Raw genomic sequence first — 27,338 nt, 5'->3', positions numbered from 1 at the left:
GTGAGACTCCATCTCAAAAAAAAAGAAAAAGAAAAAAAGAAAAAAGCAGCTATCAGTGACTTAGTGGCTGCTGGCTTGGGGAAGGGAAGGCTGAAATGTCAAACAGTTGCAGAGCCTGGAACTATCTCCCTTCACTGATGACCATTTGAGACGGGGATCTGGAAACTGTGGTTTCCAGTCTGAATAAACTAGTTTGCATTAATGAGGCTAGATCATACACCAGAAAAATCATCTGCAAAGCAATAAATCAGATTTTCTAGCACTTTAAAACGAATCCCTGTTGATAGCTTAGGCATTTTAGAAATGATATTCATTCTTTCAGGAGAGCAGGGTAGTAATTAGTAATTTACTATACATGGCCAAGGGAACTCTAGGACATTGGGAAAATCTGATTCTATAAACACAGTTTGAGGCTAAAGAGAATTATGAGAGTAATTTTCTCAGTGTAATAAGTACAGTATATTCCTAACAGTGGCCAGAGGTTTTAAAAGGAAAGTGAAAATACTGCAGAGTGGATTAAAATCACACAAATAATTTTAAAATCTGGAACAAAGAGCTTATAAAGAAGGACTCAGGATGTGTTGAGCTCAGAAATAAGAGGTGGGGGGTTAATTTAATGATTTTCAAGAAAATGAAAAACATACTACTGTTTTCTGTCTTGACTACACAAGATGAAGAATTTAAATTGTGGTGTAGAGTTAGTTTAGACTCGGGCCAGTTTGTAAACTGGGAAGCTGAGGCAAAGGCACTGAATGATCATGATATATGCAAATCAGCCTTGACAGGTCTGGGGTACACAGGTTTGCATTCCTCATGTTCATGAACTAGAGACAACCTCCTAAACCAAGGTGGTTTTCAACTCTTCTGAGGAGAAGAGACCTTATTCAAAACTTTAACATTGAAACCCTCTTCCAGGGGAGATTGTGCTGGCTAAAACCTGGGATGAGAGCCTCTGCAGGGGACCCGCTCGCCTTGCTCACCGGCCACCACCGCTGGCCTGCCTGCGTCGGCGCCACCTTGGGGCAACAGGGACTCTGAATCAGGGCTTCTTGCTGGAAAAGTGAAAGGGTAGGGTTTTCTGGCATTTTCCATTGCCTAACTACAAAAATATTTTAAAAGCCTCATTGTTCACACGATGAAAAAGAACATTCTAATAGAAAAACATAAGGAAGGGCAATAAGTTTGGAATTAAACCCTACATAGCAATACGACAGTACTTCTAAACTTTCCAATACACGTTCAATACTTACTAGTCATTAACTACTCAGTAGGTTCTTGAATCTTCAAAGAGGAACAGAATGTAGAGAAAATATATGCCTGACAATCATCTGGGGACTTATGTTTCAGGTAGTAAAACCCACAGACAATTAAACCCCAAATCTGGTAAGCTCTGTGCCTTGCTCCTGGTCAGCCCTCAAACGTTTGTAGAATGAATGCATAAAAGTCCATGGGGGAGAATACTTGACTTTGAGACAAGTGGTAATAAGCTACCTAAGTTTTAAACTGGTGGTTTGGGAAATTAGTTTAGCAGATGTGAAGTGGGAGGCTACGGGGAGAAGGCACAGCGAAAATGTGGAAGATATGTTAGAACAAAAATAACTGGGAAGCGGCAAATGGCAATGAATGACACTAATTCAGTGAGAAGGAAAAAACCCATCCAGAAAACTATTTATTTGATCATTTGCTGACAAATGACTCTGCATTTGAATGACTGCTAAAATTCAGCCCCTAGTTCTGAACAGCTGTGCATACAGGAATCTTTAAATACTGCCCCACAACCCCGGAATCAGATCGCTTCCAAGCTTACATCTTTACGCCCCAAAAGGGAATCAGTCAGTTTAAAAAGCATTTACCAGAAAAAAAGAGAATTTTTTTTTCAGATGCTGTGTTTTCCATTAGGTAGGTGGTAAATTTATATGGATTGTCATTTTCAAGAAAATGACAAAGACCAGAGGGAAAATGAAAAGTCTGGAAGGGCATCCTTTTATTGCCAATATTTAAAACTGTATTTAACTTTCTTAAGTAATGCCCCCTGCCAACAAAATTATCTTTGAGTTTAACTCTAATATAACTAGAAAGTAGTCATTAGTTATACTTTTCTTTTTACCCTGATCCATAGGAGGGAAAAAGACTGACAAAGAAAGCTGGTGGGTGCATCCTTCCTTCCCCAAGGAGAAGATGCACTTAGAGTTACAGGAAGTAGCATCTTTGACATTCACCCAAGGAGAGACTTTATGCAAAGAGATTGGGAGCTATAAGTTAATGACATCTGAGAGCAGAGTGGAGAGGAGAGGAACACAAAGAGAAAGGCAACAAGCAAGGCAGAGCCGTGGGGCCTTGAGAACCAGTTGATAACACAAATGTTAAGTCAGCTCTTGGCATTCTGAGGCAGCTCTGAAGTGATGGAGAGCACTGGTCCAGGCCTGGTCGGATCAAACAAGGACCAGGTGATGTCAGGATCATTGTTCCCCATGCTGAGGGTTGCATGCCGCAGTCTCCAGAAATGCTTCCAAGGTCCAAGAGTGATTACAAGAGTGGGGAGACAAATTAGGAAAAATAAGGGCTCTCCATGGCACTTGCATCAGAAAACTCTTACAACAGAGATAAGAAGCTATCGAAGTACATAAAATTCCATCAACGAAATCCATCCACAAAAGGTTAAGGAATCCCACTAGTTCAATGGGGAAAATGTTTCTGTTTCGGCAGCTAATGAAAACGGAAAATCAGTGCCATTGAAGGCACACTTCCTAAAAGCTTAAATCTAGCTTATGCTAGCTTAATAAATCCTGCTGTAAATGTCTCACTGTAAGGAGAGTTTAAAGGATAACAATAGGGATGTATAAAAATAAGAAAAAACTTTGGTAAATAGTTCAAGGAACTAGGATTTTCTTACTTGGTTGGTTGTTTGCCTGGACCAGAGAAAAAGAATAAAAATCTATCTTTGGAATTAAAAAAAAGAAAAGAAAATCCATACTTATCAGATAATAGTTTCTTACATTTCATATTTTCCAGAGAGATATGACAAATAATTCATTTGTGCATTATAACTTCACACAGATAATTTTGCCAATTTTACAAATGTGGAAACTAGCAAGCTAACAATGGAATCCAAACTAGTGTGCAAGTTTCCAGGTTTCTCTCCTCATCTGAGACCTTTTTGACCCAGGAACCTCTGAAGAACTGAAGTGAAATGTGACGCCTAAGGCATCTGTTCTGAGGGGAGAAGGAGAGGGCAGCGGTCAGTAAAAGATTACAGCAGGACCCAGCACTGCCGTAAAGATAAGGGTCAGCCTATGTGTCCAGGAAATCAGAAGGGGCCAAAAGGAACTGAAGTTGCTGGCCTATTTAAATTAAACGGAGCATTCTCTATTTCATTTGGGCGGCTGTCATGGGGAATCTGTTTGTGAACAAACACTGGTGTGTGCCTGGTGGATGTTTGGGATCTCTTAGCTGAGATACGCAGAGGCTGACAGTGTCGACAGCTAGAAGTGAATGGGTGCTGATAAATAATAAAAGGGTGAGACTGACATAAAAGTGTGTCGGGCGTAGTGGCTCACGCCTGTAATCCCAGCACTTTGGAAAGTTGAGGCGGGTGGATCACAAGGTCAGGAGTTCGAGACCAGCCTCGTCAATATGGTGAAACCCCGTTTCCACTAAAAATACAAAAAAATTAGCTTGGTGTGGTGGCGCATGCCTGTAATCCCAGCTACTTGGGAGGCTGAGGCAGGAGAATTGCTTGAACCTGGGAGGTGTAGGTTGCAGTGAGCCAAGATTGCACCACTGAACTCCAGCATGGAGACAGAGCGAGACTCTGTCTCTGAAAAAAAAAAAAAAAAAGTATATAGGCCATCGATTATCCTCTGACATGGTGATTGTATAAAATTATCTGTGGCTAGGCACAGTGGCTCATGCCCGTAATCCCAGCACTTTGGGAGGCGGAGGTGGAAGGATCACTTGAGGCAAGGGGTAGGTCAAGGCTATAGTGAGCTACGATCGCACCACTGCCCCCCAGCCTGGGTGACAGAACAAGACCCCATCTCTTAAAAAAAAAAAAAAGAAACACACACAGAAACAACAAAAAAAACATAAAACACCATTTGCAAGGCTGAAGCAGCAGACAACTCATTAGTCATTTAAAAACATCTCATAGCTGCTAGCATTTCACATTGAGACCAAATTTTATCTTCTTATTCCTGGTATCCCCATCAGTCCTACCAGCTGGGGACATGCCCAGGAGCCTCGTGGCACTCTGTGGTGCCTGAGCAGTGGGCAGCATCTCACCCACTTGTCAAGGTGGGATATCTGGGGTCTTGAGGCTTCAAGAACAGCGGGGGTTTCCTGGCCCTTCACCGCGGGCAGCTCTGACTGTACTTCCTGCAGGCAGGTGGCCTGGGGAGGCTGGCCGGGGCGTCTGCTGTCACCATCTCAGCCTGGGAGGTGCAGTGGTTGTCAGCAGGGGCACAGCACTCCTCCCTGCACCAGCCTTTAGCAAGTACAAATCCTTTGAGCAACACAAAATAGACTCAGGGTCAAAAGTAACTTTCCTAAGGAAAGATTGAGAAACAGGGAAAGCATTGGCAGTGTTGACATGTGCTATTCTCACTGTCCTGAGTCAGAAGCGGGTTTTTATGTTTCACATTTTGAGCGGTCTGCATCTCAACAGTTGGCCTGCAAGATGGAGAGGCTGCAAGATTGGGGGTTCCCGGCAAAAACTGTGCAGCCAGACGGCGGGGACTGAAACCTGCTGCTGCCATTTGCTATCGGTGGAACCTCAGGGAAATGGTTCAGTCTGAGCTTCCATTTCCCCATCTGTAAAGCAGTGGTAATAACAACATCGACCTCCTCTCCCTCAAACGAGTGGAGTCACAGTAAGTGACTTAATATTTGAAAACAACTTGAAACAGTGTCTGATATAAAGTAAGTGATACAGTATTTTTTTTTAAATTGGGTTTCTGTCATTCAGAATCCATCTTCACAGAGGAAGCTACCTACCTTCATTCTAAGAATCAGGTTCTCAAGTCACCCATAAAAGACCATGTGCCCCATATCATAACTAAACCGATACCAAACTTCAGGCTGCTCCTAGATGACTTCTATGCAATTCAATGGTTCGTCCTCCTTGCTCAGAGTCCTAGTGACACACTTCTGCACTGGAAGTCTCATCCAGCCATGGTGAAGGCTTAGGGAAAGGGGCTTTTAAAGTCTTGAACTTCTTCAGGAAGTGGGGACAAAAGCCCTATTCACAGCAGAGAGGCATCTTTCTCCTATAAAGATCTCAAAGGTCAGGCCCCCATATGCTGAGATTGCCTTGCAAATGGAAGAGAAGATCCGCTCTTTAAGGGGCAGAGACCAGGCCAGGAGTGTGACAGAAAAGTACCCTGTGGCCAACTGACACGAGCCCGGATGGATGAGGAGGGCAGGGCTGGAAGCAGGCCAGGAGCCGTCAGGAGAGGTGACAGCAGCAGGCCAGGAACGTCAGGAGAGGTGACAGCAGCTGCCTGCTCAATAGCTGGTTGTTTCTTTCACTTTTCATTCTCCTGCCCACACCGAAAATTCTGTGCTGTGTTTGTCCTAGCCCAACCTCCATTTCAGATTTGGAACAATGAACAAGAACAATGAACAAACCTGAACTCAGTGCTCTAATTCAACACTGAATTTTGTGTTTCACTAGGCAATGCCAAATAGTCAACAAAAAAATTTAGAAGCCGCCCCTGTCATCTGTCAAAATAAGAAACGGAAGAGATGAACTATGTCCACTCACATTCTGGGAAAATCTGATCCCTGAGACCTTGAGCACACTAAGTAGAGGCCATCACACCGTCACACACTTTTCCACCTTAATAAGTCAGAGGGCATGTCCCCACTTTACCTCAGATCTGGGACTGCAGCCCCAAAACCTAAATTCTGTGGAGCAGACGGATGCTCATTGGTTGGTTCCTTTACTGGGAAAGAGCCATGGTCTTCTCTGAGATAACAGTGACTCTGAGGTTACATAAAGGTTTTGTTTTCCTCTCCACAAACCTAATATAGGTGTGCCCCCTTCAGCAGGCTTATTGCTGGAGCCATCGTGGAGACCACCCGGTCGGGTTCTTGTTTCAGAGGAATGAGGCACTGTGGGAGACTGGAAGGAATTTTGACAGCTGGGTCTGTTTCCCTATGGTACCTTTGAGTGGTCTAGAACTGTGCTGTTTATACTGTAACCATTAGTCACGTGGGACTATTAACATTTAATTCCATTCAATAACATTAAAACTCCAGCTTTTTAGCCATGCTAGCTACATTCCAAGTGATCAATTAGCTGCATGTGGCTAGAGGCTACTGTACTGGGCACCATGACATAGAACATTTCCACCATCACAGCAAGTTTACCTGGGCGATGCTGACTAAACCCCTTTGAGACTTAGGTGGTTCACTGGTCAAACGGGGGTAACAGCATTTGGCCTGCTTGAAGGTCTGGGTTTGGACCAGATGCCGCTTTCACAAGGTTATCTCTATCAAGAGCAGCATCTGCAGTGCTTTGAGCCTCCATCTGTAATGGCTACTCTGTATGTTTTAACTCACATAATCCTCACCCTCCCACAGAGGAAAAAGTGGCATTAATCCCCATTTTTACAGATGAAGAAATGGAGGCCTGGAGGAGCTAAATAGTTTGCTCAGACACAGCCAGTAAATGCCAGAGCAGGGATTTCCATCAAGATCACCCTAACTTCACACCTCCAACAGGATTCGAAGTACCCCCAGCTCTGAGATCTCTGCTACAAAGACACATGAGGACTGAATTTAACTCCTACTGTGATTTTTGGAGACGTAAAAATTCTCACCTCAGCTGCTATGAGTGACTAGAGTGTGGTTGTGAGATCCGCTAATTCCTGTCTTCTACCTCAGACTATATTTATTTGTTAATTGTGTTATGACAGTGTTAGGGAACATATATTTTAATGAAAGAGTGAAAAGGACTCTGTTTTGTGTGTGTGCGCGTGTGTGTGTCTGTGTTTATAGGATAGAGTATATATAAAACCCTCTTATAATGGGAAAAGGGTGCATATATGTAAAACATACCATAAGCAATGCTAAATGTAAAAGAACAAATTGAGAGAAACGAATATCATTTGACAGATAAAGGATTTTGTCCTGAATATATAAAAAGCTCATAATGTCAATGGGAACAATACTAAAACTAATAGAGCATGGGGTAACAGGAAGAGGGGCAGAGACTTGGAGGCCCCTCTCAGGTGCTGGAAATGTCCCAGATCTTGACCTGGGTGGCAGTTACATGGGCGTATACAGAGGCAGAAAGTCACTGACCTACACACTGAAGTTTATTGCCCTTTATATGCGGTATGTGATATTTCAATAAAAATGCCAAAAAGCATGTTAACTGAAATGTAAACTCAAGTTATTCATTATTAGCTAAAAATGTGTCTCTTTGTTCACCATAAAATGAATGTAAGAGAACTGGAGTGAGTTAGAAATATAACAGCTGAGCTATTTTGATAGATTTTGTGAAATTGCTCTCCCAAGGGACCCTAGACTCCCTGTATCATAAGTAATAACGGAATCATCAAATGGCATTACTGCTTCTTGCCAGTCCCAGTAAACCAGTTGATAGCCTATCCTTCCCCACCTGACATGGAGTTCTGGGCAGGCACCAATGTCTTTCAGTACTTTTTGCTTATAAGAATGGTGTCATTTCAACAGTCAAAATGTCCAGTTCAGTATATTCTTCAAAACTTCAGTCCAGCCTCCCTCTAGCCCTGGCGTGGGCTGCTTCCATCCTAGTGGCCTGCACAGGAGGCCCTTTCTGCTGTCTCCACCACCTCTCTACTAGCTGGCTATTGCTTCTGATCCTGTACCTCAGGTCCAGGGGAAAGCAATAATTTAGTATGATAGTGTAAGGGGAGCCCAGCCCTGGCTCTCTCTAGATGTGGCAGGTGGGCAGTGGCCAGCTTTTCCTGTGTGGGGCACTTTGGTGAGATTTTGGAGACCTCTCTGTGGGAGACTTATGGCCAGCTCCCCTGACCCTGGCAATGTCTGTCCTCCTGTGAGTCATTTTCAACTCCCCCAGGCCCTGGGCTGCCAGTGGTCTTTTTCACCCAGCGTCTGTCTACGCGTCACCCCTCCAGGCCGTCCTCTTGGGCAGGATGCAGGGCCATCCAGATTGGACTCCCCATGGACCCATCTGGTTCACTCAAACACATATGAATACAGCTCACTCCTAGCATCCACCACTCTTCACTTTGCCCAGCCAGCACCTTTCACCTTAACACGGAGGCTAGCTGGATGGTTTCCTTGAAGCATTTCCCATGTGGCTAGAAGTGAAAAGGAGGCATCTCCCCACCTTCCCCATAGTGGTAGGGAACTTACACAGATGCCTCTCTCTGGAAATCTCCCTCTCCTTGACCTCTCCTACCTCAACTTCCCACAGGTGGGTGATCACAATTGCTAGCAGGATTGATTTCACGAGCTCTTAGCTGGTCTTGCTTAGGTGGCCGAGCCACTCCATTAAGGCCATGCAGGCTGTTGCTGCTACCTATTTTACCTGCCCCTGTGCCTTTGGTCCTCTGCCTGAACGTCAGAAACAATCTGAAGAATTCGATTTAACAGCCGGCCACACACATAATTACGTTAAGTCCAGTGGCTGTTAGTGGGCATTTTCCCAATGGCTGGAAGCCCCTTGAGGTCAGAGACTGCCTGGATCTTGGTCACTCCCACACCTACCCCAATGTCTGGAACATTCTGGTGCCCAATTCTTATTAGTGAATGAATCAAGGAGGTGAGAAAACAGAAAAAGGAGTAGCAGTGTTCCTCTGTAAACTCCTTTGGGGAGGAGATTTTTATGTAGGTAGGTCATTTTTGTCTGATCTCATGTTTTAAAAACATGCCCCTAAGCCTCCAATTAAGAAAATATGTGACTGTTTCATTCTCGGCCACTTGTCATTCAGACAGTACCCAGAGCCTGATGGCGCCAGTGGTAATCTGCAGACACAGCTGCAGCCCTTTTACCAGCGTCATTCATGGTCTGTGAAATTCCTCGAATAAATGGACAGAGCATCTCTTCAGAATTGGTTGGTCAATACGGTAATTGAGGAAAACAAAAATTGCTATAGATCATACGTGAAAGGCCTTCGACAGAGTCTTGTGCACAGATCTGAAATGTCTATAGCCAGCCCCCATCCATCTGTCTGCGCGCAGAGGACAAAAGCAATCACGGGAACATGTGGTTAATAGCACTACAGGTCTGAAACCTGCAGGGACCTGGGAATTGTGTAAACGATATGTAAGGCCTCCCAGCAGGAGATGCTCAAGAAGCATGTAGACCTCTAATGAAAACACTTCCTTTACTTAGACTGTCTAAACACATGGCCCTGATTTCTGATCCATTAGTGATCATAGTCTCTGTCTGGGCTGACTTTGGAAACTTTAAAGGCTAGAAAATGACCTCCAGGAGAGAATGAACAGTGGAAACATTAAACTATAAACTCAATTTGACAAGTATTTACTGGGCATCTGCCATGTGTTCAGCATTGCAGAACTATGTGAAAGGAGATGCAAAGATGAATGAGACAAGCAAGGAGCTTACAGGCTGGTTGTAGGGTGATGAAATGTGCATCTCTCCTGTCCATAGCCAAAAGGGATTTCATCACACACATCAATATCATGCTTTATGCTTAATTCAGCATCATCTTTAACTTCATCACATCCTTGGGAGAGGTAAAGCAGGGATGGTTGTTCTCATTTTCAGAAGAGGAAACTAACACCCGAAGAGGTGGAGAGACCAGCTTGGGGCCCCACAGGAGCTACAGTTGGCAGAGCTGGAGTAAGAACACTGGTCCCCTGACTCTGGGCTGCTGTTCCCTCTGCTGATTGATAGACAAGGCACATGAGAGAAACCCAGTTTGGGCCTGTGGCTTCACTTTCAACTTAAAAGGCAACAAATAGTGAGAAGGTATAACAAAATCAGGAGCAATAGGCCAGAATGTATTCACATAGGAAGATTTTTAGAACCCCCTAAAAATGGAACATCCTAGCCTCCCCAAATATTAACTAAAGAAAAAACTAGAAGGCTCCAGAAGATGAAATGCTATCCTAGCACCACATGGGGTAGAGTTAGGAGGTGACATCCTGGGGCATTCTTATTTCTCTGGAGAACCAACCCCTAACCCCACACTTCTGCAACTTTTTAATTCTCCTGAATAAAGCTCAAGGTAGTATCTGCCAATGTTAGTTACCTTTGATGAGAAGTGAGAAATAATTAGATGATGTCGAACACTCTGTGGCAGCCTTGATTCTCTAGATCTGTGGGTAAATCTACATCTTGATTGATGTGGATCTACAGCTTTTCTGTTTCTAGAAATCGAAGTGGCCTCCCTGGGTAGTTCACCATGTGAGAAAAAATGTAACTGTTACCATGCTTGGCTGTAGTTTTGAGATGAGTACAACTTCCTACTCATTTTTTAAAAGCTACTGATTCAAAATAATCAGGTTGCCACAATAATGCTATATTCTTCCTTAAATGGACTCAACTAGTACAAAGTGAATCAGATAATTAAAAATCATCGTATCCAAGCCCTTCGCTTTATGATGTGAAAACCAAAAACAATAAGGGTGAGGGTTGGTTGACAGCTGGATTATAGCACACGTTTTCAGACCAGCAGTCCCATCTATAGCTATATGCTGCCTTGGGAGAGTAAAGACCTGCAGATAAACTTGGATAAAGATACCAAGATGGGCTGTTACTCTGAAAGCACCATAACAGTCAGCTTGCTTAGGCTCTGTGAAGCCAGGGCCACCTTCACATCTTCTGAATGAAATGGCCCAGGCTAGGCCCACAGTTGGTGAGAGGAGGCAGTATGCACACAATGAGGCCCGAAGACTGTGTGAGCTGAGAGCAGCTCTGTCTATTCGAACCATTTACCAATCCATCACCAAGAGCCTGCCTTGACTTGCTCAAACCACCCATTGTGGAGGCCAAATGATTACTGGGCAGCCATAAGTGAGTCAGTAAAAGGAAGAAAGGGAATCTGGACACTAAAGCCAGCAAAAAAGAAAAAAAATGCCCTAAAGCAATTCCCATTAAGTGGAAATTTCACAGAAATGTCCTGCACACGGTCGTGTACTCATACAGAGAGGATGAGGAAGGTGACAGGAGATTCACATGACAAGGTTGCACCAGGGCATTGATAACCAGCCATAGAGCCCTGAGGCCCACTCATGCATGCAGGGGAGGTAAGGAAAGACCTTATGGGAAGAACTTCCTTGGGCACATCAGTGAACGAAATAGCCAGGGTCTGTATTTTACCCAATGGTGAGGTCAGAAGAGAAGACTGGATCCCTGAGCTATTTACATCACTCACCTATGCCCCTGCTGGAGGGAGAGTCTGAGGAGCTGGGATCCCTCTAACTGGAATTGGAGATGGACAAGCTTGCTCATGTATAAGCACAGCTGCAGTCACTCAGGTCGCAACGCAGCTGAACCGTCTAAACAATTCAGCTGCCAAATCAGGTGGCAAACCTTACTGTAAAACTCTTTATTGTAAAGGGCTTCCATACACTAATCTCTCCCCATCTATGAATTTTTTCACCAAAAATAAAAAACTCCCAGCATTCTGTCATTTGCTTTGTGGTACTTTTGTAGCTACTGTAAAAATTATATGTGAATTGGGAGGGATTCCTGTTTGAGATAATTAGAAAAAGAGGGCACTGGGGATTGAGAAAAGGGAAGTAAGGTGAATAGGGGAACCAAGGCTGGAGGGCTCTGGGGAGAAGATTTGGAAGGGAGGAGGGGAGCTGAGGCCAGGGGAGAGAACCAGCTCAGCCTTATCTAAGATGCAAAGCTACTTTGCATCTTAGAAGCCACTGTGGGCCCCAGGAATTAACTGTCAAGATTCTTGAGAAAAAATCAGAGAGGAATAAGATGGACCATCAGACAGTGGAAAAACTGTAAATGCTAAAACTCATTATAGTGTTTTATCTGCAGTGAGGCAAAATGGATTTACCAGCAGCTCACTGAGACTACAGGGAAAAGAGACTAGACATTTCTCATGCACTAAGGATGGTTCTTGGAATTTGAATCATAGAGGATTAAATTTTTTCTATTTATTTAAGATGTGTAAGATGGAATGTTTACATTATTTAGTATGCTATCTTTATTACTTTAATTAATATTTAAGAACTTCTATGGGCTTACTTGTGGTGAGGCTTAAATGCCACTTTTCCTAATTAGTAAATTCCCTTACCACAGGGGTTTCAGGAGCCTGCCCTCATGGTGACCCTATTGAACAGACTGTCACTACCGAGGACCACGCAGCAGACATGTGATGGGCTCTGTGAATATAGTGGCAGAAACTGCAATTACTTTGGCACCAACCTAATAATAAAGACCTGGGAATACCTACCCATGGGAGTGCCATTTATAACACACGATTCTCATTAGCAGACTGACAATTTGATTATATTTCTTTTAATATATGCTGCACATGTTCTGCTCTGAGCCAGGCAGGGCCCATTCTCTCTCTCAAATGCTCCTTGCAGGGTGCCAGGCAGGTGGGTGTCCAGGAGGGCCTGCCTGGTATGTGGCAGTGGGTAAGAAAAGCATTATGCATGCATCACATCAGGGGGGCAAAGTGGCACCTGACTTGTTTTGTGAAAGGGGAATAAATTCTACAAACGTGCACTGAAAACACATAAACAGATAACAAGTGGGTGTCCTGTCAGTGTAACACAATTTAAAAACAGCATTGGGACCCAAAACATCAACGGGCATGAGACAAAATATCTCCAGAATCAGGCCCAGAAAGCACTCCCTGACCAGATCCCAGAGTGTTATTTACCTCCAGGGGGGACCGTGAGGTTTGTGTCTAGCTGGGTGGGGGGCGGGGATACCACTGCAGTTGGCAGCCTCTCAAGCATAGCTCCACTTACAGAGAAGACCCTGTGAAAAGTGCTCCCAGGGTAGGTGGCACAGCACAGAGGCCTTGTTGTGGCTCAGGTGCCCATGGGTGAGTGCTGTTTCCTCAGAAGCTGCAGGGACAGAGGAGCCCCGTTTCACTGTGTCACGTCATTTGCAGATCTGAAACAGTGGATGTTGGCAAGACACTTGTGTCTGCTTTGATCTGTATGCCTAGCCTATTTCTTCCCTTCCTAAGTTCCAGTGTCAAGGTTTCACATTGAACTCCAAAGAGTAGGGAGGTGTTTTACATGTGTCACAACTTAAAAAGATGATTTTTTAAAAAATCCTTGCAAGTAATTAATGAGGGCACTGACTTACCTGTGCGTGCTTTGAGACCCAGTGACGGAGGACGTTCAGAACTCGATTGGTAGCCGTTCTCCGTATAATAAACTCTTTATCACATGTTCTCTCGGTGTTGTTAAAGCCTTAGGAGAAAAAGAAACACACACGTGTTGCAGTTAAAGCCACTCCCTAGGGACCTGGAAAAGGTCATATATTTTAGGACATTGGTTAACGAAACTCACAGATGACACTTCTTGGCAGAGAGGTGCGCGTGGCTTCAGACTATTGTGAATTCCGCTCACCTATTACTCTCTCAGCAGCAAGGCCCTCGTGCGGTTACAGGTGCAATTAAATAAATAATGCACACATATTTATTGAAGACCACTGATTAAAGCTAAAGCTGCTCTCCTGACACCTCCATTTATGCCTGTCTTACTCTATAATACAAAGCCAAGAAGGAATCTTAACCAAGTATTTGAGTCAGCATTAATTTATACTTTTGCCTCGCAGTAACTGCACAACCGATAACATTTTCAATATCTGTAGATGAATTAGGCCATATCTTGGCTTATGGATGATTCAAACACTTTACTGTGCATCCCTGTACTGAGAAGCAGTACAGCATCACGGCTAAGAATGTGTATTTAAAAAATACTACAAGAGTAGATTTTAAATGTTTTCACCACACACACACAAATAGTAAATATGCCAGGTGATAGATCTGTTAGTTCGGTTTGATCATTCCACGACATAAACCTATATCAAAGCATCACATTGTACCCCATAAGAATATAATATCTACAATCATTATTTGTCAATTAAAAAGGAAATTTACAAAAACCCCATGGATTCCACAACCAGAGTGCCTGCTCTTAAATCACTGTTCTCCCACCCTGGCAAGTTAGGTTGCCTCTCTGGTGACCGGTTTCCCACATTCCTCATGAGATAATAAGCGTACCTACCTCATAAAGTTGTTGTGGGATTAAGACTTTTAATACATGCTAAACATTTAAAATGGCACTTGCACAGCAGTGAGACTGTAATAAATGTTAGCTACGATTACAAATCAATCTTGATTCACTGTCTTTGAGTCTTCTCTGTGCTGGCTAATGTCTCTATCTTGGCTACCTTTTCATTATCAAGAAACCATTTTAATATTTTTCCACTGACACACTGTTTTAAAAGATTCTGCCTTCCAATCACAATGAAATCACATTTCCTTTAAACATCAATTAAAGCCTTACATAACTTCAGTGGCAAACCTCTTGAAAGAGTTGTCTAGGCTGGGCACGGTGGCTCATGCCTGTAATCCCAGCACTTTGAGAGGCCAAGGCGGTGGATCATGAGGTCAGGAGATCCAGACCATCCCGGCTAACATGGTGAAACCCCGTCTCTATTAAAAATACAAAAAATTAGCCAGGCGTGGTGGCGGGCGCCTGTAGTCCCAGCCTCTCGGGAGGCTGAGGCAGGAGAATGGCGTGAACCCGGGGGGCGGAGCTTGCAGTGAGCCAAGACGGCGCCACTGCACTCCAGCATGGGCGACAGAGCGAGACTCCGTCTCAAAAAAAAAAAAGTTGTCTATACTCACTGATTCAACTTCCTCACTTCCTGTTCTCTCTACATCCTACTCGAAGCTTCTTATCCCATCTCAGCGACAAAACAGCTCCCATTTAAGGTCCTACCAATAACCTTCATGTCCCTATATCCAGGGGACAGGCTATAATCGCTCCCTAGGAAATCTCGTCTAGGCCTACCACTTAAATGATTACCTACAAGCAAATTAGTCATATATTTATATCTCCAGATCTCTTCTCTGAGTTCCAGATCCATATACGCAATATCCAATTGTCTCTTTCTATTTTCCTGTTATATGTTTCAAACACACTTCAAACTTGATGTGTCCAAAAAATAAATAAATAAATAACCAATGGCCTTTACACCAAACTTTGTCTTCTTCTAGTGTTCCCTAGCTCAGTAAAGAAATACCACCCTCCCTCCAGTTATGTAAACCTGAAACTTTGGAATTATTCCTGTCCTATCTTTATGCTGTTTCCTAATAATTTTATCTGCTATATAAATCTCAAATCTGTCCCATGTCTTCCCATCTACAAAACCAAAACTGGGGCTGAGCTACCAGCAACTCTGTCTACTGTAATAGCCTCTGGTCTCCTGTAACAGCCTCCCAGCTGGTCTCTACTGTCACTCTTGCCTCCTCAAATTTGTTTTCCTCTCTGAAGTCAGAAAGATCTTTAGGATTTTAGAAAGAAAATTAGGATGTGTTGTTCCAGTGCTTAAAGCTCTTTAGATGGCTCTTAGGATAAATACAAAACTCCTGAACACAAACTACAAGGTCTTTGGTGGTTTAGCCCTAGCTCCTCTCAGTCTTTTCTGAAACCATATTTTTCTCTCCTTCTTCCATTTCACCACACTTCTTTTTAGTCATTCATCCTTACCCCAGGGCCTTTGCACATACTGCTACATATCTGAAACAATTATCACTCCTCTTTTCACTTAGTGAAAGCCACTTTTGTTTCCAATTTCACTTCTCCAAATGAGCGCTTTCCAGCCTGAATTGGACAAAGCCCCCATTACATATCTCACGGCACCACACACATCTACTTTATGGTACTTAGCACATTTGAAATTGTACACTTATTGATGTGATTATCAGATTAATATTTGTGTCATCCATGAAGACAGGGATCTAGTATGATCTTACTGGGCACAAGCACCTGTCTGGCACATAGCAGAAGCTGTATACAATATACATTTGCAGAAAAATGAAAGCCTACATAGTATGAACTTACTAAGTTGTATTGCATGATATATGACTGTAAGGATAACTGAGTGAATGACTGAAAGAATAATTCTCGGAGCTAACGAGTGAGTTAAGAGAAAAAAAAAAATCTCTAAGTTTCTAAAGGCCAGAGGCCCCTTCTCCTTACTCCTCTTCGAATGTAGACAGGCATCTTCCACCCACCAGTGGACATTTTAATTCTGTCAGAGGATGGTGATGATGTGTTCTTGGCAGAGTAAGTATCTTGGAAAAAAAATCTTTTGTTATTAAAAACAGAAATTCTGAGTAAAATATAACAAATATCCTTCTAAATGCATAGCTGAGTTCTCAAGAAAGTAAGGAATTTTCCATGGTCAAACACACAGAGGGATCTGAAAAGCAGAACCAAGTCTCTGAACTGATGCTGGCTGTGCTGAGGGGAGGGAAGGCTATCAGTAGCATGGTGTTGGGATTGTAACATCCACATGGTTCAGGAGAAGAAGCCCCAGGACCTTCATGAAGTGGGAATGGGGAGATGGGAACTGAGACGCCCACATAAACCTGGAACTCTCAAAGGACCACCCCTCCATAAAAGAACGTAACAGGGAAAAAATTTATCCTACCTGCAAAAGGAGACTACTAAGAAACTTGTCTGCCTCTGCCTCAGTGGGGTTGTGGGAGAGGGTGGAAACATTCTCCTCAAGAAGAGATAATCACAGCCCACTTCCTGCAGGCCAGAGGCTCAGGTTGAATCACTATTGTATGGTATACCCATCTAATGAGAAGTTAAAATAAAAAGTGGCCTAGGCCAATGATGACCCTGAGGACCCCAACAAAAGCACATGCAAAACCTCTGCCGAGGAACACATACCTCAGCCTGCACTGGGATCACCATGGAGAAAGCCCTTGAAGAAGAGCTCACAATCCAAAATTATAAAACGCACAAACCGTCCACATGTGCAATGATCAGTAGGCACAGGGATCAGGAACCTGATGCTCCCCACCCCACCCCTCCATCATCACCGCCAAGAATTTCAGATATGAGAACTATTAGATAGCTCTAATTTAAACATACAGTATGTATTCCACATGTGAGATATTAATACAATAGATTCTCCCGGATTATGGAGAATTGGGTTATGCTGCGCATGTCAAAGATGTCTAAAGCCCCCCAAATATTTGCTATTTTCTTTTCCAGAAAATGGTACAAGGACTTCTTGGGGGTGGATCTATGATTTTAGGAGAGAATGGCTTCCACATGATTACTGCCACCAATTAGCAGTGTAGTCCATATTTAAATTAAAATATATTGTCCAAGGAGCTCCCCATTTAGGTGGTGGTTTGCAGCAGACACTCTGGCAAGTTGTAGAAAATTGTTCACATAGCTTTAAAGACTGTGAAAAGTGGTGAGATGGGCATGTCTGATTGGAAGCATGTTGGCATGGACCTCGATGTCTATGTCATAGCAAGAATGCACGATCAGCTTCACACATGACAGCACAGTTAAAACAATCACAGCTAATGAGTATACAGCACCCCCTTTTACAAAAAATGATCAAACTGCTACAGGCATGTCTCTTGGAGAGATGACATCTGGTTTGGGGCATTTCTAAATTGTCCCAAGGGCATTTGGGACAAATTAGGAATTAAGAATGCCATTTCAGTGATGCATCATTTTTCATTTCATACAAATGGGACGTAATCTGTCCAACAGCATCAATGTTATCAATGTGCTTTGCTTTGCCCAGTAGATATTTTTCTTTTTCCTTTTTTTTTTTTTTTTTTTGAGACGGAGTTTCGCTCTAGTTGCCCAAGCTGGAGTGCAATGGCACAATCTCGGCTCACTGCAACCTCCACCTCCCAGTTCAAGTGATTCTCCTGCCTCAGCCTCCTGAGTAGCTGGGATTACAGGCAGGCGCCACCATGCCCAGCTAATTTTTTTGCATTTTTAGTAGAGACGGGGTTTCTCCATGTTGGTCAGGCTGGTCTCGAACTCCCAACCTCAGGTGATCTGCCCACCTCAGCCTCCCAAAGTGCTGAGATTACAGGCATGAGCCACTGCGCCCAGCCCCAGTAGATATTTTTCTAAAGAACTGTAGGCAAGATAAAAGCATGTAACTGGTTTGTATACTACCGTGCACTTGGATTACAACTGGATTTCTACTCTTTGGTTGCTGTTATGGAAAGATCATTAAGATTTATTGCTGCTTTGTGCCAGGTGCTTTGCTATGAGCTTTACAAGTGGTCTATAACTTAACCCTCACAACCAAGGCAATAATAACAATTGCCATTCATCACATGCCCACCAAGTGCTAAATATAGTACCATAAGTAATGCGGCTTCTTCAACATAAGAGCAACTGCATAGGTTAAACATTGTTATCCCAATTTGCAAGCAAAGAAACAGGAAACCAAAGAGGCTAAGAAACTTGGCAAAGGTCACAGAACTAAGAAGTGTGAGAACCAGGATTTGAGCCCAGGTCTGTCCATTTCTAAAACTAGAGTGCTCTTAATTACACCCCTGTGCCAGGATCCAAAGTGTAAGCCTTAAGTTTCTCTTGCAAGTTAGTAAACCAACACTTAAAGGTATGAGAGAAGACGCTATTTGGCTATTTGGAGAAAGAAAATGCTTTCCTTTTAATTCTATCTCTCTTCTAAATTTTGAAGTGTGAGAGCATGACACCACTATTAAATAGACAGATATGTTTCATATTGTCATGGATTTTAAGGCAAAACCTTTACTTGTCTAATGGGAACTTAGATTTCCTCAAAATGTGCTCTTTTCCCAAACTCATCACATTTCTTATGTGACAATTATGTGGACCAGAGCTTTTCTTAGTGTGGATTGCAATAAAAAAGTTTAAAAGTGACTGATATAGACAATCTGATTACTAGCACTATGTTTAAAGAATCTGCATTAATTTCCCTGAAATCCTGGGTAATCAAGTTTGTGCTTTGCTATGAAACATGCTGAGGAAAAAGCAGAAGATGCTTCTCCTCTTGTCACTGTGCCTGCTTTGCTCTGTCGCCAAACACTCTCTTCATTCTCTCCCTGACCCTCCAGCCTCTCCACCTCTGCCTGATTCCTTGGTTCCTCTTTTCTAGGGTTGTCCCCATTCAGTTCTCACCCTCTTGGGGACATGCCCTATCTTGTGGTTTTTCTATGCCTTCCAACCTGACACCTCCAGTTCCAACAGTACCCCAAACTCCTCATTTCAAACTTCCTATTAGACATGTCCATATTAATGACACATTCTCCTCTCCTAAGAAACATATCTAAAAACCAAGTGTATGTGTCTTTTCTTCCAACTGCTCCCCAATCTAACTTTCCCATTGACTTCATGGGATAGCCATGGTTTCAACCTCTCAGGTGGGACACCTTACTCTTCTTTGTCTCTCCTTGGTTTTTCTCATTCAGTCAATAAATTCTGTGAACTTTTGGTAGCACCTGTTAGATTTATCCCTTCTTTTCCATTCTTCTGCTGCCATGCTGTGTGCTACACATATGGGTTTCAGTTATTGTCTCCGAGATATTCTTCCTTTCTTCATTCTCTCTGTTCTTACACTTTCCTTCTATCCACAATTCAATTATTCAATCAGTATCTATAAAGCACCTACTATGTTCCAGATACTGTGTAGGTGCTGAGTGAACAAAGGGAGATGCTCCCTGCTCTCGTGAAGTTTTCTCTATAAAGCAGGAGGAGATGGGCTTCAAACAAGTAAGACGCCAAATTTACAAAACTCAAAACCTTGGAAATGAGTAAGGTGCCTATCTCTTCCAGAATAATCTTCCCAAATACCCCTTTAATTTGTTACTCCTCCAACTCAAGTACTTCTCATGTCTCCCTATTGCCCATTGAACCAATCTAGAACATTTTCCTAGACATGATGAGGTTAAGTAACTTGTTTAAGGTTACACATCTAGTAAACTGAAAATAGCTGGTCAGTGCAGACAAGCAGATTTTCCATACATACATCATGGTAACAGTGTTCACTGAGTCTATGAATTGACATACTGTTTCTGGAGAGATGAGTTAGGATAACAGTTAGGATTATGGAAGCTCAACTTTAGTCTGGATAGGGCAGGACATTTGGTGTAGTAATCTGCTGGTATATTCAACTGCTTCTAAACTACTTCCATCTTTATTTGTTTATTTATTTTTTTGAGACAGAATCTTGCTCTGTCACCTAGGCTGGAGTGCAATGGCACGATCTTGGCTCACTGCAACCTCTGCCTCCCGGGTTCAAGCAATTCTCCTGTCTCAGCCTCTCAAGTAGCTGGGATTACGGGCACCCACCATCACACCTGCCTAATTTTTTGTATTTTTAGTAGAGATGGGGTTTCACCATGTTGGCCAGGGTGGTTGCGAACTCCTAACCTCAGGTGATCCACCTGCCTTGGCCTCCCAAAGTGCTAGGATTACAGGCATGAGCCACTGCGCCCGGCCTAACTGCTTCTATCTTAATGGAGTACAGTTGGCAATCTTTTGTTTTCAAGGTACAGAAAATCCAACTCAAACTGGCTTGGAGTAGAAAGGAAATTGCCATTTCACATATCTGGAGACAGTGATAGTTCTAGATTCAGATCTCATTTGATTCAGAAGCATATGATGTCATTTCTGTCTCACTGCCAAGCAGAAAAGATGGGTAAGGCTTTGCTAGTTTTATAATCTCACCACACATCATCCAGAGGATGAGAGGGCATTCTTTCTGGAAACTTCCACTGAAGATAGAGGAAGTTTCTATCCGAGGGCCCCCAAACAAATCCTTGCATTTTGCTGACATAAACTGCATCATAGGCCTTCTATAAACTCATCATTTGACAATGGTAGGGATAAGGGGTGGTAAGTTCCCACACAAAGCACATGGCCAGAATGTGAAGGGGCAGTTTCTTAAGGGTGTCATTGGCAAGATGCTAATGAGGCAATGAACAAATATGCCTCAGAGTGGATTTGCTTGTCTGTTTTTACCTTTCTATAAGTGTGTTCTTATCCTTCAGTTTTTAAGTTCATCTCCTTACTCAGGTTAACCTGAGATTTTCTCTAAGTGCAGTTAACTGTAACAATAAACACACACACACACACACACACACACACACACACACACACGCACATCCTTGTAGACGAGGGAAAGCAGCTCAGCAGATCTATCATTATTTGTGATGAAAAATACATGAAGAATGGTAAAATCAATATCTTTGCTTTCATCTTTCAAGGAAATCAGTAATTAAAACTGTCAATTAAATTGTTCTCATAGTTTTTTTAAACAACATGTGTTGTTTAGATTCTTAAAGGAATGATTATATATTGAATTTAAAATGAAACTTATTGAGAACCTTTGTGTATTATTTATTTTAATTCCCATAATTCCATAAAAACATATTCCTTGTTTTTATAGATGAGGAAACTGAGCCTCAGAGAAGTCCAACATCCACCTAAGGTCACAGATGGTAAAAAAAACCCAGGATTTATGACCAGATAAATGCCTCTAAAATGCAGGCTCCTCCCACTGACACATACCACCTGCGTGCCAACTCATGAGGAGCAGCAAGTTGTTCCTGTTGGTTCTATGTAATTATCAGCCCTCCCATCGCTGCTGTCATCAGCTTTTATGCTCGTATAGAAATGCAACAAGAATATACTGCCAGGAAAAAGGCGGAAGGTGACTTCTGCCAAAGGAGAATGGAGACAGGGGTTAGTGTGAGGTGAAGCCACAGGGTGAGCCAGTTTAAAGACTTCCAGAAATTGTCTGGGGCAAGAAGGAAAGGGATGGGTTAGAAGCAGAAAGGTGACAACATGTTTGTGGGAGACAATAACATGAACCAGTTGGAAAATTAAAATAGAGTGCTCTAAAAATTCAAGAAATATAATACTCCAGGTCAGAGTTTCTTGACAGCAAAATCCATATTACTCAGAAAGGCCTTTGAAAATACAGCAAATGCTCTAGAAATGGTTAATATGCAGAACACATACACACACACACACACACACACAAACACAAAAGGAACACACTTTGAATTTTCTGATAATTTTCTTGTCTGCTCAACTTTGTGACCAACTATCTAAAAAGTGAAGGGAGGGAGATTTTGTGTGCTTTAGTTTGAATTCCTTGATGGGGCATTAGTTACCTCCTGTGGATAAGATGTCGCACTCCAGCCTGATGTGAAACAATATTCACCCCCTTGGCATTAAGCAAACTTTCCCCACAAACCAAAATAATAACGATTTTTAAAACCCTCTGTATTTCTTTCTACAAAATCCTACATACACACCTAGAAATGCTTTTCCATGGGCATGGGATCAGGAGTGAGTGGTAGCTTCTTATCAGGGAGGGTGCATTTAAAGTGTGTTCAGTTGTGAATGAGCATGCGCCTGCGTATGCAAGGAGAGGGGGATGGCCACCGAATTAGTGGAGATGTTCCAAAGAAGCCAAATTAGATAATTTTAGAGATGGTTAATAAGGGAGGATGAAAATGGGCCATTTTCTTCTCCTCAATTTTTAATATATAATAATTTATACAAAAAGGTTTTAATGTCTAAACACAGTAGGCTTTACCATTACAACATGAATGGTAGGAAGGGTGGGAGGAAGGGCGGAAACCAGGAAGCACAAAGCTAGCCCAGCTTGGTCAGACAAAATGTTTACTGAGCATTTTTGTGCCAATCAATGGGTAGGAGTTTTCTTTTGTGGACAAGGAAAATAGTTGGCTGCTCATAGGAACCTATGTTCTACTGGGAGGAGGCAGACATAATAAATAATAAATCATACAAGTGCTATTATTATCTATAAGCAAATAAATAAGGTAAATTCCAATATTGAACAGAAAAAGGGTGACTAGGCCCATGTGAGAGAAAGGGCACATTAGCTAGCTCGGGCTGGGGAAGGCCTTTCTAAGGAGAAACACAGGAGTTGGGACATGAATGAAGAGAAAGACAGAGTCATGTGGAGATTTGGAGGAAGAGTGTTTCAAGCAGAAGGAGCAGTGATTGAAAAGGCTGGGACAGCTCTGCTTGATGGAGGGATGGGAAGCAGCCCAGTATGGCTGCAGCCCAGGAATCATGGGAACAGGAAAAGGGAGGTAAAGTCAGAGAGTAGACAAAATCACCAAGCTTCTTTTAAGCCAGTTTAAATAGCTGAATTTTATTCTCTGGTATTGGGAAGCCATCAGCGGGTTTTGCCCAAGGGAATCATATTGTCTGATTTACATTTTAGAAAGGTTACTCTGGCTGCCATGTGCAGTGTGCACTGGAGGGGGGCAAAGTGGAACGAGGAGAGGCCAAGAGTGAGGTAGTGATGCAGGTGATGCAGATACTGTAGGTGGTGCAGGTGATACAGGTGGTGCAGGTGATAACAGTGGTGCAGGGAGTGCAGGTGCTGCAAGTGATGCAGGTGGTGCAGGTGATGCAGGTGGTGCAGGTGATGCTGGTGGTATGGGTGATACATGTGGTGCGGGTGATGCAGGTGGTGTGGATGATAACAGTGGTGCAGGGAGTGCAGGTGATGCAAGTGATGCAGGTGGTGCAGGTGGTGCAGGTGATGCAGGTGATGCAGGTGGTATGGGTGATACAGGTGGTACAGGTGATGCAGGTGGTATGGGTGATACAGGTGGTACAGGTGATGCAGGTGACGCAGGTGGTATGGGTGATACAGGTGGTGCAGGTGATGCAGGTGGTATGGGTGATACAGGTGGTGCAGGTGATGCAAGTGATGCAGGTGATGCAGGTGGTGCAGGTGATGCAGGTGGTGCAGGTTTGGGCAAAGGCTGTGGCTGTAGATGGTAAGAATCATTGGTGATGGAGGGGCTAAGATGTGCTGATCAATCAGATCTGAAGGTCTGTACTGAATTGAATAGTATTCTCCCCAAATCCACATCCATGCAGAACCTGTGAAGGTTACTTTATTTGGAAACAGGGTCTTTGCAGATGTGACCAAGTTAAGATGTCAAAGTGGATTATGGTGCGTCCTAATCATTATAAGAGGGAAATTTGGACACAGACACACCTAGAGGGAAGAAGACCATGTGATGAAAGAGGCAGATATTGGGAGTCATGATGCCACCAGCTGGGGAACCCCAAGGATTGCCAGCAAACACCAGAAGCTAGGAGGAGGCAAGGCAGGATTCTCCCCCAGAGCCTCCAGAAAGTATGGCCCTGATGACACCTTGGTTTTGGACTTCTGGCCTCCAGAACAGTGAGAAAATAAATCGTTGTTTTTTTAGCCACCCAGATTGAGGTACTTTGTTATGGAAGCCCTACAAAAACGAATTTAAGGTCTGAGGGAAAGAGGAATCAGGAATGGCTCCACTGTTCAGGACCTGTTCAGCTGGGTAGATGATGATACCACTTCCTGAGATGGGGCAAGGGCAGGTTTGAGGGAGGAAATCAAGAGTTTGATTTTAGACATAGTTAAGTGTGAGATGCCTCTAGACATCTAATGATCACACTGGAAATGCAAATTGAGAGTATCAGCATTTAAACAGTACTTAAAAATCAGAAGTCTGGATGGGCTCACATAGGTACAGAGTGTACCAGACAAAGCCCGTGGCCCCACAACCAGGAGATATTGGTCAAAGAGCCAGCAAAGCAGACCAAAAGAAGGAGGAGAGCAAGTCCTGGAAACCCAGGCACATTAGTCTCATGGAACCCAAGAGGACAGGAAATATTTCAACAAGGAAGAAGTGATCGCTGTGTCAAATGCCACTGAGAGGTTGAGTAAGACAAGGGGATTGGATTTGACTCTGGCAAGCTATCGGTTGTCAGTGACCTGGGTCAGTCATTCCAAGAGTGACGGAGTAAAAGTCCAAATTGAGGGGAAAAAGAAGGTGATGAAGTGGAGACATTAAGTATGGCCAATATTTTCAACACATTGTGCTTTGAAAAGAAGCAGAGGAAGGGAGCCATAGCTGGTAAAATGGGTGATATTAAGACACCGGTGCTGGGGGCAGTGGCTCACACTTGTAATCTGAGCACTTTGGGAGGCTGAGGTGGGTGGATCACCTGAGGTCAGGAGTTCGAGACCAGCCTGACCAATATGGTGAAACCCCAACTCTACTAAAAGTACAAAAATTAGCTGAGCGTGGCGGTGTGCGCCTGTAGCCCCAGCTACTTGGGAGGTTGAGACAGAAGAATTGCTTGAATTCAGGAGGCGGAGGTTGTGGTGAGCCAAGGTTACGCCACTGCACTCTAACTTGGGCGACAGAGCCAGACTCTGTCTTAAAAAAAAAAAAAAAAAAAGAGAAGAAAAAAAAAGACGCTGGCATGCTATAGGAATGATTGATAAAGGGGGAAATTGATGTCAATAGAGAAAAGGGTAACTGCAGGAGAACAGTTCTTAAGGAGGTGAAAAGGGATGGGATGGGGCAAAGCGGAGGGGCTGACCCAAGGGCAGTGTGGGGATGATTACTCCACAGCCTCGGGGAGAGGGCAGAGGCTGAGACCAAGTGTAGTGTGCTGGCGAAATCAGTGGAGGGAAGAGGTCATCCTTGACCATTTGTATCTGCTTTTGCTGTGAAATATGAGACAAGATCATCAGCCAAGCCTGCAAGGGGATGTGGAGATCTGAGAAGAGGGGAAGGCGGTAAAGGGTAAAAGGCAGTGTAGGAACATGACTTTACTAGGATTGTCTGGCAGTGCAGAATATCCATTTAAGATCTGAAGTCTTCCTGTGAGTCCCAGCAGCACCACCCTAAGAGTCTCTCCAGAGAATGGCTCTGCTGTGTCTGAGTGCCGAGTCGGCCTGACCCCGTCATTGTTCAGTCATGCTCTTCGTTGCTCCTACTCCCCACCTTTGATCTTTCCATCAGAACTTGCCAGGGGAGGCATCTGCTTTTCCTCATGTGCCCTGGAGGCAGCCACAGAGAGGAGAGGCCGAGGGGTCAGAGTGACGGCATCCCTGCCTGCAGCTGCTCATGGGGGCTTCCATTTTCAATTCTGTGCCCTGCGTTGGAACTTACAGAAAGCCCAGCGAGGAGAACACCACTATCACTGAGTGCACACTGATGTGTGCAGTGAAACCCCTGCAGTTAAGAATTTCAGACGGATTCTAACCAACTTGCTGTAGAATTCTATTCAAGTGGATTAGTTTAACAACTGACTGATTGATGATTGCAAATTTTAACAATCTCTCGGTTTTGCAGTTTCTCTTGTTTGTGTCCCTACTGGTGATGCTTTTCTGCCCTGCCCCCTCATCCGAGGCTGCTATGGGGCAGAAACAATAGCTACGTCTTGGTTGGCCTCCAGTCCTCAGGACTGATACAAAACAGGCCTTGGATAAATTGGTTGCTGTGTGTATGTATTACAGTGAGTTCTTCTAACTGTGTTAAGTAGGAATTTCTGCTGGGAAGACCAGACTTGGACAGGCCAGGTCCTTTATGCTGACAGCCTTGTATCCGTCACTCTACCCATGGAGGGCAATGTAACATAACTCACAATGGTGCTAACAGCTCAGTGTGGTGATGCTTTAACTCCATACTGCCAGGATCATCCCGTCTCTTCACTCGGGGAAGACCCTGCCACCTATGACTTAAAGACTGAAGTCATTTCATGAGGGGGATCAGGAGACACCCTAATTTCCCTTCTTTCAAAAGCTCTCTGCAGTTTCGTCCTCATTCTTTTCCTTTACCCCTGGGGAAAGCTAAAGATGAGCTGGGAAGAACATCTCAGAAGGGACTGGGAATTTTTAAATCGGCTTAGCTCAATGAACGGCCTTAGAAAAATCCCCTCATCTCGGGTTCTCAGTGTCCTTTTTGGTCACAAAAGGAGCTTATCTGGATGCCTCTAAGGTCCCTTCCTTAGTGTCTCCTTGGATGAAGCTCAGGTTGCCCACCATGCATCTGATACCATCCTTTCGCTGACCTCAATTACCAGCCCTTCGTCCCTCCCCCATCCTTCCCCTTCAGTATCCATAAATCCCTCCCGTCTGTGCACAGAGGCCTTTCCTCAACACCGCCACTCCCTCACATGTGACAATAGAGGCTGTGTCTTTCTTGCTTATCTTAGGTATCCTTGGAGTATCTGTAAGCAGACAAGGGCTTTTGTCAGGAGAAGTAAAGTTCACGGCCAGGTGCTGTGGCTCACACCTGTAATCCCAGCAGTTTGGGAGGCTGATGTGGGTGGATCTCCTGAGGTCTGGAGTTCGAGACCAGCCTGACCAACATGGTGAAACCCTGTCTCTACTAAAAATACAAAAATTAGCCAGGTGTCGTGGCACGCGCCTGTAAATTCCAGCTACTTGGGAGTCTGAGGCAGGAGAATTGCTTGAACCTGGGAGGCAGAGGTTGCAGTGAGCTGAGATGGCGCCACTGCATTCCAGCCTGGGTGACAGAGCAAGACTC

At 43.8% G+C, this 27,338-nt stretch overlaps 1 protein-coding gene across 6 annotated transcripts in view, besides 2 other annotated features; it reads right to left on the bottom strand.

Annotated features, from left to right (window-relative positions):
• Positions 1-27,338, bottom strand: part of RASGRF2 (Ras protein specific guanine nucleotide releasing factor 2) — a 269,800-nt gene that overhangs the window by 36,614 nt on the left and 205,848 nt on the right. For 5 of the 6 annotated variants that reach the window (NM_006909.3, XM_047417464.1, XM_047417463.1 and 2 more), the window contains one exon: positions 13,268-13,374. In NM_006909.3, coding sequence (NP_008840.1) covers positions 13,268-13,374 — 107 coding nt within the window. Of the gene's footprint in view, positions 1-10,234; positions 10,369-13,267; positions 13,375-27,338 lie in introns of those variants that run through there. The other variant, XM_005248565.2, reaches the window with a different exon arrangement.
• Positions 453-959: an enhancer, noted in NCBI's record as "H3K4me1 hESC enhancer chr5:80488409-80488915 (GRCh37/hg19 assembly coordinates)". NCBI's record gives its function as "activates a minimal SCP1, AML or CMV promoter by ChIP-STARR-seq in primed H9 embryonic stem cells {active_cell/tissue: H9 hESC(primed)}" and the evidence as "EXISTENCE:reporter gene assay evidence [ECO:0000049][PMID:30033119]".
• Positions 960-1,468: an enhancer, noted in NCBI's record as "H3K4me1 hESC enhancer chr5:80487900-80488408 (GRCh37/hg19 assembly coordinates)". NCBI's record gives its function as "activates a minimal SCP1, AML or CMV promoter by ChIP-STARR-seq in primed H9 embryonic stem cells {active_cell/tissue: H9 hESC(primed)}" and the evidence as "EXISTENCE:reporter gene assay evidence [ECO:0000049][PMID:30033119]".

This window comes from Homo sapiens, chromosome 5 (assembly GCF_000001405.40).
Source record: "Homo sapiens chromosome 5, GRCh38.p14 Primary Assembly".
NCBI classification, from domain to species: Eukaryota; Metazoa; Chordata; class Mammalia; order Primates; family Hominidae; genus Homo; species Homo sapiens.
This window is presented reverse-complemented; position numbering and strand designations above follow the sequence as displayed.